The 14,635-nt window shown below is 38.2% G+C and overlaps 2 pseudogenes, besides 2 other annotated features; one reads left to right on the top strand and one right to left on the bottom strand.

Annotated features, from left to right (window-relative positions):
- Positions 1–1,593: part of a mobile genetic element, noted in NCBI's record as "direction; reverse", that runs on past the window's edge.
- Positions 1,000–1,396: a non allelic homologous recombination region, noted in NCBI's record as "2q12.2 recombination sub-region, recombines with the 2q12.3 proximal recombination sub-region". NCBI's record gives the evidence for it as "EXISTENCE:nucleotide sequencing assay evidence [ECO:0000219][PMID:23657883]".
- SRSF3P4 (SRSF3 pseudogene 4) lies at positions 1,596–2,213 on the top strand (annotated as a pseudogene).
- A 5,276-nt stretch (positions 2,214–7,489) lies between these two features.
- Positions 7,490–8,082, bottom strand: RPL22P10 (ribosomal protein L22 pseudogene 10; annotated as a pseudogene).

Below are 14,635 nucleotides of genomic sequence, written 5' to 3'. Positions count from 1 at the left end.
AAAATGAAGATCTCTGGTAAAGATAAATACATGGGCAATTATAAGGTAGTATTATTGTAATTTTCACTTATAATTCCATTTTTATTAATAATTTTCTGCACTTTAAAAAGACAAATGCAAAAAACAAGTATTAACCTATTTATTGGGCACACAATATATAGCGATGTAATTTGGGACATCAATAACAAAAAGCAGAAGACAAAGATGCATGCAGCAGAGTTTTTGTATGCTACTGAAGTTAAGTTGGTGTAGATTCAAAATAGAATGTTGTAGCTTTAATAAGTTAAATATAATCCTCATGGTAACTAGAAAGAAAATATCTATACAATATACTCAAAAGGAAATAAGAAGAAAATAAAAATTTTTCCCTGAAAAAAGTCAGCTAAACACAAAACAGGCAATGATGGAAGAAAAAGGGGACAATAAAGAAATGGCAAATAGAAAAAAAATAACAAAATGGCAATAATATTTACTCCTTATCAGTAAATACTTTAAGTATAAATGGATTAAGTTCTCTAATTGAAAGACAGAGATGCGGAAAATGGATACAGAAAAACAGGATCTAATTATTATCTACAGGAGACTCACTTTAGGACAAAAGACACTAATAGGTTGAAAGTGAAAGGATGGTAAAAAATATTTCATGCAAATAGTAACCAAAAGAGAGCTGAGGTGGCTATAGTAATATCAGATAAAATAGATTCTAAATCCACAAAGGTTACAAGAGACAAAGAAGGACATTAATAAGAGGTTTAAAACAGAAAAAAAATATAGCAAGTATAAATATTTACATACCTAATAACAAAAATATATGAAGCAAAAACGACAGAATTGTAACAGGCAATCCTAGAGTAATAGTTTGAGAATTCAATATTCCACTTTCAATAATGGATAAAACAACCAGAGAGAAGATAAGAAATTAGAGGACTTGAACGACAAAATAAACCAACTAGCCCTAACAGACATATACAGAACACTCAGCCCAATAACAATAGAATGCACATTGTTCTGAAGCACACACGGGATGTTCTCTAGGATAGACCACCATAAACATGTTTTAATAGATTAAAAAGTATAGATATCACACAAAGTATCCTCTCTAACCACAATGGTATGAAGTCAGAAATCAATAACTGAAGAAACACCAGAAAATTCACAAATACGTGGAAATTAAACAATGCACTCTCACAAAACTAATGCATCAAAGAAGAAACCACAAAGAATATTTGTATCTTGAGATAAATGAAAATAAAAACACAACATATCAAAACTTATGAGATGCAACAAAAAAGCAGGGCTAAGAGGGAAGTTGACAGCTGTAAATGTCTATATTACAAAAGATCTCAAATCAATAACTCAACTTTATATCGTAAGGAACTAGAAAATGAAGAGCAAACGAAACCCAAAGATAGCAGAAATAAGACAGTAATAAAGATTAGAGCAGAGATTTTTAAAAAGTAGAGACAATAAACGATAGAAAAAAATCAATAAATAATTGATTGGGAAAGAGAAACAAAATTGACAAACTTCTATCTAGACTGACAAAAAACAAAAGAGAAAAGATGCAAATGACTTAAATAAAAATAAAAATGGACTGCCATTTCGTGGACGCCGGGTGAGCGAGAGCATCGCTGGGTACTGGGCCGGAGGAAAGCGGGAAGACCCATCGGAGCGTATGGATTTGAGCCTCCGCATTTTTTATCCTAGATGTCGAAATGCATCGTGATTCCTGTCCATTGGACTGTAAGGTTTATGTAGGCAATCTTGGAAACAATGGCAACAAGACCGAACTGGAACGGGCTTTTGGCTAGTATGGACCACTCCAAAGTGTGTGGGTTGCTAGAAACCCTCGCGGCTTTGCTTTTGTTGAATTTGAAGATCCCCGAGATGCAGCTGATGTGGTCTGAGAACTAGATGGAAGAACACTATGTGGCCGCTGTGTAAGAGTGGAACTGTCGAATGGTGATAAAAGAAGTAGAAATCGTAGCCCACCTCCCTCTTGGGGTCATCGTCCTTGAGATGATTATCATAGGAGGAGTCTTCCACCTCGTCGTAGATCTCCAAGAAGAAGCCTCTCTCGCAGCCGGAGCAGGTCCCTTTCTAGAGATAGGAGAAGAGAGAGATCTCTGTCTTGGGAGGGAAATCACAAGCCGTCCAGATCCTTCTCTAGGTCTCGTAGCCGATCTAGGTCAAATAAAAAAATAAATAAATAAATAAAAAGAAGACTAGTTGGCAAGAGAATTGGTGTACAAGAAATTACTTCATTTGACAGGAGTATGTACAGAAAATTCAAGTTTTGTTTGAGACTTCATAAGCTTGGTGCATTTTTAAGATGTTTTAGCTGTTCAAATGTGTTTGTCTCTTGAAACAGTGACACAAAGGTATAATTCTCTATGGTTTGAAATGGATCATGTGAGGCATGTAATACCAAGAATTGTTACTTTACAATGTTCCCTTAAGCAAAATTAAATTTGCCTTGAACTTTAGTTATGCATAGACTGATGATAAAGCTCTAAACATGCAAAAAATAATAATAAAAGTAAAAATGGAGACATTACCACTGATTTTACAGAAATAATGGATTAAAAGAGAATAGAAAAATAGATGAAAAAATAGACAACCTAGATGAAATGAAGAAATTTATTGAAACATAGAAATTATGTAGGTTGACAGAAGAAATAGAAAATCTCAACAGTTCTATAACAAAGTGATTGTAAACATAATTAAGAAAAAACTTCCCCAAAAGAAAAGTCCTGAATCAGATGGCTTCACAGGTGAATTCTACTAAAGAAAGAGAAATTGACACAAATTATTTCTCAGATAATCCAAAAAATTGAAGTTTTGGGGATAGCAAGGAACACTTGCTATGCATTCTGTGAAACCAGCATTACCTTGCTATTAAAGCCAGATGATATTGCAAGAAAAGAAAATTGCAGACTAACATTGCTTATAAATATAGATGGAAAATCCTTAACAAATATTAGCAAGGCTGGGCATGGTGGCTCACGCCTGTAATCCCAGCACTTTGGGAGGCCGAGGCAGGCAGATCACCTGAGGTCAGGGGTTCAAGACCAGCCTGGCCAACATGGTGAACTCCTGCCTCTACTAAAAATACAAAAATTAGCCTGGCATGGTGGTAGGTGCCTGTAATCCCAGCTACTTGGAGGCTGAGGCAGGAGAATTGCTTGAACCCAGGAGGCGGAGGTTGCAGTGAGCTGAGATCATGCCACTGCACTCCAGCCTGGGTGACAGAGTGAGAATCCAGCTCAAAAAAAAAAAAAAAAAAAAAAAAATTAGCAAATTGACTCCATCAGTATACTATAAGGATTATTCACAATTGAATGGGATTTTACCATGAATGCAAGGACGTTTCAACAGAAGAAAATTAATCAATGTAGTACATCACATTATTTGAACAAAGGAAAAAAAATCACATTATCATCTCAATTGACATGGAAAAAGCATTTGAGGAATTTTAACATCCTTTCATAATAAAAACTCTCGGCTGGGTGCAGCGGCTCACACCAGTAATGCCAGCACTTTGGGAGGCCTAGATGGGTGAATCAGCTGAAGTCAGGAGTTCAAGACCAGCCTGGCCAACACGGTGAAACCCCGTCTCTACTAAATAATACAAAAATTAGCCGTGCATGGTGGTGGGCACCTGTAATCCCAGCTTCTTGGGAGGCTGAGGCAGGGAGAATTGCTTGAACCAGGGAGGCAGAGGTTGCAGTGAGCTGAGATGGTGCCACTGCACTCCAGCCTCGGCAACAGAGTGAGACTCCATCTCAAAAAACAAAAAACAAAAACAAGCAAACAAACAAACAAACAAAACTCTCAGCAAATTAGGAACAGAGGGAAAATTTCTCAACATGATAGAGTGTGTTTCTGGAAAACTTACAGCTAACATTATATTCAATGGTAAAAAAAACTGAATAAGTTCCCCTTAAGACAAGGCACAAGAAAAAGTTTCCCAGTGCTGTTTGACACTGAATTGAAAGTTCTAGCTAGACAAGAAAAGCAAATAGACCGGGTGTGGTGGCTCACGCCTGTAATCCCAGCACTTTGGGAGGCCGAGGTGGGCAGGTCCTTTGAGCGCAGGAGTTTGAGCCCAGCCTCAGCAACATAGTGACACCCTGTCTCTACAAAAAATACAAAAAACAAAGTGGCCGGGCGCGATGGCTCACACCTGTAATCCCAGCACTTTGAGAGGCTGAGGCAGCTGAATCACCTGAGATCAGGAGTTCAAGACCAGCCTGGCCAATATGGCAAAACCCTGTCTCTACAAAAATGCAAAAATTAGCCCCCCATGATGTCGGGTGCCTGTAATCCCAGCTACTTGGGAGACTGAGGTGGGAGAATTGCTTGAACCTAGAAGGTGGAGGTTGCAGTAAGCCAAGATCATGCCATTACACTCCAGTCAGGGCAACAGAGTGAGACTCCATCTCAAAAAAAAAAAGTCATCCAAATCTAAAGGAATAGGTGAAACTATTTCTGTGTGTAGATGACATAATTCTTTGTATACAAAACCCCACAGAATCCACAAGAAAACTCAGAGCTAATGAATGAATTCAGCAAAGTTGCAGTGTACAAAATCAGCACACAAAAACAAATTGTTTTCTATACACTAGAAGGAAATTAAGAAGAAATTCCATTTACAATAGCATCTAAAAAATTAAATACTTAGAAATAAATCTAACTGAAGAGGTGAAAGATTGATACACTGAAAACTATAAAAGATAAAAACTACAAAAAATTAAAAAGATCAAAGTAATTGAAAATACATTCTGTGTCTGTGGATAGGAAGACTTACCACTGTTAAGATGTCAATACTACTGAAAATGATCAGCAAATTCAACACAATCTCTTCTAAAATTCCAACAGCCTTTTCTTTTCCACAAATGAGGAAGCTGATCCTCAAATTTACATAGAATTGAAAGTGACCCTGAATAGCCAAAACAATCTTGATAAGGAAGAATAGAGTTGGAAGACTCACACTTTCTGATTTCAAAACTTACTACAAAGCTACAGTAATTAAAACAGAAGGCACTGGCATAAGGACAGACATATCCAATGAAATAGAATCGAGAGTCAGAAAAAGGTCTCATATATATGGTGAATGGATTTTTTCTTTTTTTGTTTTTAACTGACACATAATAATTTCACAGATTTTTGGGGCACAGTATGATATTTTGATACATGTATACAAAGTGTGATGCTCAAATCAGGATAATTAACATATCAATCACCTCAAACATTTATAATTTCCTTGTGGTAGGAACATTCAAAATCCTCTGTTCTAGCTATTAAAAATACATAATAAATTATTGTTAACTATAGTCACCCTACAATGCTACAGAACATTAGAACTTTTTCCTCCTATCCAGCTGCAATTTTTTGTCCATTAGCTAACCTCCCCCTATTCTCCCCACCTCCCTGCCTTTCCCAGCCTTTAGTAACCACTATTCTACTCTTTGCTTCTATGAGCTCAACTTTTTATTCTTCCACTTATAAGTGAGAACATGTGGTATTTATCTTTCTGTGCCTGGCTTATTTCAGTTAACACAAAATCCTCTAGGTTCATTCATGTTGCTGTAAATGACAGAATTTTATTTTTTATTTTTATTTTTCATTGTGGTTATAGACCACATTTTATTTATCCATTAATTTGTTGGTGAGCACTTAGGTTGATATCATATCTTGGCCATCATGAATAGTGCTGCAATAAACACAGGAATGCAGATCTTTTTTTTTTTTTGTAGCCATGTGTTAGTCACTTTAATAGAAAATGTGATCAAAACCTGACTACAAGAGTTCAGAGAAAAACCAGTGAGTTTCAATTTCATTACAAGTTTTTAAATCTGGAACTAGTTTTTTTGTTTTTGTTTTGTTTTGTTTTTTAACTTAAATGCTAACTTCAGCTCCGGGTTTTTTCACAACCAAACTAAAAATTACTTACTACGTGGGAACATCAATGCAACAAACAAGTAAAATTTGTAAACTCAAGCCACAAACTTACAGTTAATAATCATGGTAAGGGACATTGCCACAGAGCAACTGATGCCTCAGTGAAGTTTGAAAGAAACTCTGCCTTCTGTGAAGGCAGAGAAGAAATATGCAGGCAATTCTGCTTCAAAGAAATCTGCTAGGAATGGAAAATGCTAAAGCCTTTAAGACAAGTGAAATTGCAAAGCCTCAACACGTTCAGCTCAATCCACAGAGCACCAAATGTTAAATTGGAGCCAAAGTAGGATTGAACATTGAATTTCCAGCTATGCAACTCACAGAGCACAATTTCAGGTGTGGAAACCATCTGTAGGCAAGTTCTTTTAAAAACATGAATTTTATACACCGTAAATTCTAAAACACACACTTCTGCATTATTGTTCAAATTTCAGAAGGGCACCACAAGTCACCAGGGTCTTTCAAAGTCACTCACGGCAACAATTCTGTCTTTTTATTCCAGCCTTGGTAGCCCCCTTCCACAGTTCTCTAGCCTCTGCACACACTGCGCCTCACCACTGTAGAATGACTTCTGACATTAAATCCAGTCATGGCCTAAGTCGCATGAGGCAGCTATTTCCCAGGCACCTCCCTTCTCCTTGGCATGGGAGGCTTCCCAACCACTTCAGGCCCCACACAGGAGGCCACATCTGGAAGCACTATTCCTCCAGCTCCCTCTGCTGGAGACCAAAGTGACAGATTGTTGCAAAGACGTGTAGAAACAGATTACTTACACATTCATTTTTGTACACATTTAGTTAATTTAGAACCTGGGACTTTTACAATAGATTCCCCAAACCCCTTTATGGAGAGTGACAGACTACGCAGCAATGCTGAAGGAGCACAGTTTCTCTCTCTAGGAAGAAGAGGATTAGTAGACATAATTGTGTGCATGAAGAGAAATTTGTAATAAAAAAATCAAAGTAAGATTAATGGCCCAGAAACCTGCATTTTATTGACAATTGACACTGTCATTTTTGCAGACAGAGAATCTTAGAAAGATGTCACTTTTTTTTTTTCTTTTTGCGACGGAGTCTGCAGTGGTGCAATCTCGACTCACTGCAACATCCACCTCCCATGTTCAAGTAGTTCTCCTGCCTCAGCCTCCCGAATAGCTGGGATTACAGGCACCTGCCACCACGCCTGGCTAATTTTTGTATTTTTAGTAGAGACGGGCTTTTACCATGTTAGCCAGGCTGGTCTCAAACTCCTGACCTCATGATCCTCCAGCCTTAGCCTCCCAAAGTGCTGGGATTACAGGTGTGAGCCACGGCACCTGGCCACCTTTTCTTTTAATGAATGAGAGGAGCCCACGTGTATCCCTGAATCATTCTTTGGGAAAAGCAACAGAAACAATTGACAGTCACACTTTTTAAAATAAAACAGTCACTCCCTTCAGTCCATACCTCCACGCCCTCATCTGTCTGCCCAATGTCTGTCAGTTCCGTAAAGTTACCCTCTCCTTCTACTCTAGTATTACCACAAGAACTGAAAATTTCAAGCAGAAAAAAATAAAAAATAAAAAAAATCATGTTACAAATAAGCGAGTGGCGGCCCAAGGGAAGCCCTTTGACTATGATTTCCAATTCTCTGTTCAATCTACACTGCAGAGACACAATGATAAACCACCAATTTGGTTCCCAAGTTTTATTCAAGAACTCATACAAAATATTTCAGATAAATGAAATTTAATCCTCTTCTTCATCCTGGTTAATTTGGAAGTAACATAATTTGTAACTCTCTTTACTGTTAGCAACTATGCACAACCAATCATGAAGATTATTCTTCTTCAAATATTTTTTAGTGAGATATTTCAAATACCTTTTGGAAAAAGGTACCTTGGATGTCACGGTGATCTTGCTCTTGCTCTTCTCGATGGTCACCACCCCTCCACCAAGGTTCCCAACTTTTCCGTTCACTTTGATCCTTTCTTGCAAAAACTGCTCAAAATTGGCAGCATCTACGATTCCATCTTCTATGGGGTGGGTGCAATCAAGAGTGAACTTCAGAACCTGCTTTTTTTTTGCCCACCTTCTCCACAAGCTTTCTCACGGGCACCATGGCAGTAGTGGAGGCAGAAAGCCAGATATCTCTTTAACATACTGATTTTCTTTCCTTTGGATGTATATCGAGTAGTGGGATTGCTGGATCATATGGTAGCTTAATTTTTAGTTTTTTGAGGAACCTCCATACTGTTTTCCATAGCGGCTGTACTAATTTACATATCCACCAACAGTGTGTAAGAATTCCCTTTAATCTGCATCCTCTCCAGTATTTGTTATTTTTTGTCTTTTTGATAATAGCTATTCTGATTGGGATGAAATGAAATCTCATTGCAGTTTAGATTTTCATTTCCCTGATGGTTAGTGATATTAAGCATTTTTTTCTTATACTTGTTGGCCATTTGTAGATCTTTTGAAAAATGCCTACTTAGATCATTTGCCCATTTAAAAAAAACAGGGTTATTTTTTGTTGTGTTTTATTTGCTGTTGAGTTATTTGAGTTCTTTGTTTATTCTGGATGTTAATCCCTTGTCAAATGAGTAGTTTGTAAATAGTTTCTTCCATTCTGCAAGTTGACTCTTTACTCTGTTGATTGTTTCCTTTGCTGTGCAGAGGCTTTTGAGTTTGATATAATCCCATTTGTCTATTTTTTCGTTGTTGCCTGTGCTTTTGTGTTCTCATCCATAAAATATTTGCCTAGATCAATGACCTAAGCATTTTCCTTATGTTTTCTTCTGGTAGTTTTATAGTTTTGGGTCTTGCATTTAAGTCTGTAATCCATTTGAGTTTATTTTTGTATATGGTGAGAGATAGGGGTCTAGTTTTATTCTTCTGCATATGGATATCCAGTTTTCTCATTACCACTTATTGAAGAGGCTGTCCTTTTGCCAATGTATATTCTTGATGTCTTTGTTGAAAATCAGTTGGCTGTAGATACATGTATTTATTTCTGGGTTCTCTATTCTGTTTCAGTAGTCTATGTACCTGTTTTTATGCCAGTACTGTGCTTTTCTGGTTACTATCTTGTACTATATTTTGAGGTCAGGTAGTGTGATGCCTCCAGCTTGGTTCTTTTTCTCAGGTTTGCTTTGGCTAGTCCAAGTCTTTTGTGGTTCCATATGAATTTTAGGATTGTTTTTATTTCTGCAAAGAATATCATTGATATTTTGATAGAGATTGCACTTAATCTGTAGATCATTTGGAATAGTGTGGTCATTTTAACAATATTAATTCTTCCAACCCATGAACATGGAATGTCTTTTCATTTTTAGGTCCTCTTCAATTTTTTTCATCAGTCTTTTATTGTTTTCATTGTAAAGGTCTTTCACCTCCTTGGTTAAATTTATTCCTAGGCATTTTTTTTTTTTGGTCGCCTTTTAAAATACAATTGCTTTCTTGATTTCATTTTCAGAAAGTTTGTTATTGGTGCATAGAAATGCTACTAATTTTTGTATGCTGATTTTACATTCTCAACTTTACTGAATTTGTTTATCAGTTCTAACACTACCAAAAAGTAGTGTAGGCTCCAAATCCTACCATGACTGCGTCTCTTTTTCCTAGGTACATCTTCGACCTTGGCAAAATAAACTTCTAAATTGATTGAGACCTGTCTCAGACACTTTTTTGGTGTATGCTTGCTTTGTGAAATGAATTTAGAATTCCTTCTCTTTCAATTTTTTGGAGGAGTTTGAGAAGAATCGGAGTGAGTTCTTTGAAAATTTGGTAGAATTCAGCAGAGAAAGTTTTTCTTCATATGCATGGGGAAAAATCTCTCCTCAAATCATGTTTTCCTCTACTCTCCCATCTCAACAATCATCTACACAGAAGAAAACTTCTATGACCAGATGTATGGGGATCTTTCCCCGCAACCAAGCAGCAGACACCAGCTGAATGTTCTTCAATTCCATTCTAACACTATTTACATGGAGAGAGTGCCAGATCCCACAGGTTAAGGACTCAGTCCCCAAGCCTATTCTCTCCTTCCCCTCACCCACCGGTCCCAAGTCCAGGCCTCTGGAACTTCTGACTGATTGCCTTCAAGTTGGGGTTCCCACAACACCCTCTTTGGATTTAATTAATTTGTTAGAGTGGCTCCCAGAACTCAAACGCTTACATTTACTGTTATACTAAGAAGTATATTTTAAAGGATGCAGATAACCAGATGAAGAGATATATAGGATGAGATCTGCAAGGGTCCCAAATGCAGGAGCTTCTGATCCTGTGGAGCTGGAGTGCGCCACCCTCCCAGCACGTGGGCGAGTTTTTCTTCACCTTCCTGTCGGCTTCCATGTGTTCGGCTATCAGGAAGCTCACTGAACCCTGTCCTCTTGGATTTTTATGGAAGTTTCAAGGCAGCAGCATTCTTCCCCCAGAGGTATAGGGTGAGACCCCCTGGAGACTCACAATCAGAAAGGCAGGGGAACATTAGAGTGAAAGGAGGGCAGGAGAATGTCAGAGGCCTGTCCTTGAGGCCTAATGCCCCCAACCTTATAACAAAAGACTGTATCAAGGAGTATGGGAATTATGATCCAGAAACAGTGGATGAAAACCAAACAGGGACAATTTGACTTCCTCTTTTCCAACTTGGATGCATTGATTTCTTTCTCTTGTCTAATTGCTCTGGCTAAGACTTACGGTGCTATCTGAGTAAGAGTGGTAAAAGTGGGCATCCTTGTCTTGTTCCAGTTCTTAGAGGAGAGGTTTTCAGCTTTTTGCTCTTCGGTATGACATTGGCTGTGGGGGTTTGTCATCTATGGCTTTTATTATGTTGAGGTATGTTTCTTCTATAGTAATTTGTTGAGAGTTTTTATCTTGAAGGGATATTGAATTTTATCACATGCTTTTACTGCATATATTGAATATTGAATTACCTTTTTTTTGTTACTTTGTTTTTTTGAGTCAGGTTCTGGCTCTGTCGTCCAGGCTGGAGTGCAGTGGTGCATTCTCGGCTCACTGAAGGCTTAAGTGATCCTCCCTCCTCAGCCTCCCAAACAGCTGGGACTACAGGCATGCACCACCACACCTGGCCAATTCTTGTATTTTTTTTTTTTTTAGAAATGGGTTTTTACCCTATTGCCAGGCTGGTCTCCAACTCTTGAGCTCAAGCAATCCACCTGCCTTGGCCTCCCAAAGTGCGGGGTTTACAGGCGTGAGCCACCATGCCCAGCCAAGTTATCGTCTTTGTTATGTTATTGTTTCTATTGATGTGATATGTCACATTTATTGACTGGTATGTCTTGAAATATTCTTGCATCCTTAGAATAAATCCCTGTAGGCCATGGTGTATAATCTTTTTGATGTTCTGTTGGATTTGATATGCTAGTATTTTATTGAGGGTTGCCTGTACTTTTCTTTTTTGCTGTGTCTTTTTCTGGTTTTGGTGTCAGGGTAATGCTGGTGTGACAAGAAAATAAAATCTTGAGACCTCAAACTCACTATGCCAAAGGGAAGAGTTAAGCTTGGAAACTGAGTCAAGCAAAAAACTGCCTTTCTTCTTGTTCTTAAAGCAACAGCTGAAAGATAGAAGGGCATGCATCTCCTCAGGTGGCCTCCCTCACCCTGATAATGTAAATTAACAGCTTATCTTTATGAGTATAGGATAAGGCAAGGCTAGAAATCATCCCCCTACCTACTCTGAGATAAATGCATATTTGACTTCTTTCTCTATGTTTACTTTATCTTACGTAAAATGAAGATTTACTGAGCACAAGACAAATACATAATTGACTGTTCCTTTACTCCCTCCTATTATGTGCAACATGTGGATTCAGTGAGTGCTGGTCAAAGCCTCATAAGAATGTGACCACTTACTTCACCGTATATCCTCCCTCTTCTTTTTCTTTCATCTTTTTCCTCCTGCCTAGTTTTTCCACTTTAAATATTGAAGCCCTCAAAACCCACTTTGGAAAAAGTGTAGGCCCCAAATTCTACTGTGACTGTGTCTCTTTTTCCTGGGTATATCCTCGACCTTAGCAAAATAAACTTCTAAATCGATTGAGGCCTGTCTCAGACACTTTTTTGGTTTATACTGGCTTTGTGAAATGAATTTGGAATTCCCTGTCTTTCAATTTTTGGGAAGAGTTTAAGAAGAATTGGAGCGAGTTCTTTAAAAGTTTGGTAGAATTCAGCGGTGAAACTATCTGGCCCTGAGCTTTTCTTTTTGTGAGACTTTTATTTATTACTGATTTAATTTAATTGCCTATTATTGGTCTGGTCATGCTTTTTATTTCTTTCGGTATAATTCTGGTGGGTTATATGTGTCTAGAAATATGTCCATTTATTTTAGGTTTGTCAATTTCTTGGCATACAGTTCTTCATAATCTCTAATGATTCATTGTATTTCTGTGGTATCAGTTGTAATGTCTCCCTTTTCACTTCTGATTTATTTATTTGGGTTTTCTGTCCTTTTTTAAATTAGCCTAGCTAATGGTTTGGTAATTTAGTTTATCTTTTCAAAAAACCAACTTTTCTTTTTATTGATTTTTTTTTTTTTTTTTTGAGATGGAGTTTCACTCTTGTTGCCCAGGCTGGCGCAATCTCAGCTCACCACAACCTTTGCCTCCTGGGTTCAAGCAGTTCTCCTGCCTCAGCCTCCCGAGTAGCTGGGGTTACAGGCATGTACCACCATGCCCAGCTAATTTTGTATTTTTAGTAGAGATGGGGTTTCTCCATGCTGCTCAGGCTGGTCTTGAACTCCTGACCTCAGGTGATCTGCCTGCCTCGGCCTCCCAAAGTGCTGGGATTACAGGTGTAAGCCACTGCACCCGGCCTTATTGATCTTTCATATATATATTTTAGTCTCTATTTTGTTTTGTTTTTGCTCTGATCTTTATTATTTTTTTCCTTCTACTAATTTCCTTCTGCTAATTTGGTTTGTTCTATCTTTTCTAGTTCCTTGAAGTGCATCATTAGGTTGTTTATTTAAAATCTTTCTTTTGTTTTTGATGTCAGCATTTATTGCTATAAATTTCCCTCTTAGTACTGCTTTTGCTTTATCCCATAGCTTTTGGTATGCTGTGTTTCTTTTTTTCTTTTTTTTTTAGATGGAGTCTAGCTCTGTCACCAGGCTGGAGTACAGTGGCGTGATCTTGGCTCACTGCAATCTCTGCCTTGAGGATTCAAGCAATTCTGCCTCAGCCTCCCGGGTAGCTGGGATTACAGGTGCGCGCCACCACACCTGTTGGGGAAAAGCTGAGTGTTGGGAAAAAAGCTGAGTCAGGGCTTGCATGACTGATATAATGTAAAAGAGTCTTGGAGTATGTCCGAGGTCCAGGGTCTAAAACCCCTCGTGGCCTTTGGAACACCAAGCTCTGTGCTAAAGGGTGGAAGGCTGCCCTGTCACACCATAATCTAAGCCCAGGGCATAAAACCCCTCGTGGCTTGGATGGAATCCAGGGCTCAGGGTATAAAACCCCTCGTGGTCTCTGGAATGTGTCTAGGCTTGCTGGCTTCTTGCTTCTAGCATTCCCAGGCTCATAGATCGATTGTATCTTAAACTAGAAGAACATGTTTCCCATTATCTCAAGTAGCAGAACATGTTCCATATGCTTCAAAGAAAATGCTAAACTGTCACAGCTGTAGATTATGCACTTGATGCACTGCTTTCTTTCAACCCCCACATCCTCACTACCTGCTTCTTTGTTTGATCACCAATAAATACCGCAGGCTTCCAGAGCTCAGGACCTTTGCAGCCTCCATACCAGCATTGGCCCCCTGGTCCCACTTTATGTACGCTTGTCTTGTCTTGTTCCTTTGGCTCCACAGGACTTTGTAGCCCCCATGGCCTGGTGTTGGATCTGATCACCCCAACACACACCCAGCTAATTTTTTTGTATTTTTAGTAGAGATGTGGTTTTACCATGTTGGCCAGGATGGTCTTGATTTCCTGATCTTGTGATCTGCCCACCTTGGCCTCCCAAAGTGCTGGGATTACAGGTGTGAGCCACCGCACCCTGCCGGTATGTTGTGTTTCTAATTTCATTTGTTTCAAGAAATTTTTAAATTTTATTCTTAATTCATTGACTCATTGGTCCTTCAGAATCATGTTGTTTAATTTCCATGTATTCATACAGTTTCCAAAGTTCCTTTTGTTATTGATTTATAGTTTTATTTCACTGTGATCAGGAAAGATACTTGATATAGTTTCAATTTTGAAAAAATTGTTGAGACTTGTTTTGTGTCTGCACATATGGTCTATCCTGAAGAGTGTTCCATGTGCTGATGAAAAGAATATGTGTTCTACAGCTGCTGGATGAAATGCTCTGTGTCTGTTAGGTCTATTTGGTCTAAAGTGCAGTTTAAATCTGATGTTTCTATGTTGATTTACTGTCTAGATGATCTGTCCAATGCTGACGTGGTGTGTTGAAGTCCTCTACTATTACTGTACTGGGATCTATCTCTCCCTTTAGGTCTAATAATATTTGCTTTATATATCTGATTTCTCCAGTGTTGGGTGCAAATATATTTATACTTATTATATCCTTTTGCTAAACTGTGCCCTTTATCATTATGTAATGATCTTCTTTGACTCTTTTTATAGTTTTTAAATTAAAGTCTACATTATCTAAGTATACCCAACCATGTTTTCTGTAGGTTTGTGTTTTCCTGGAATATCTTTTTCCATCTCTTTACTT

The sequence above is a fragment of the Homo sapiens genome, chromosome 2 (genome assembly GCF_000001405.40).
Source record: "Homo sapiens chromosome 2, GRCh38.p14 Primary Assembly".
Taxonomy (NCBI): Eukaryota; Metazoa; Chordata; class Mammalia; order Primates; family Hominidae; genus Homo; species Homo sapiens.
The sequence above is the reverse complement of the archived record's forward strand: the minus strand, read 5'-3'. Positions and strand labels throughout refer to the sequence as shown.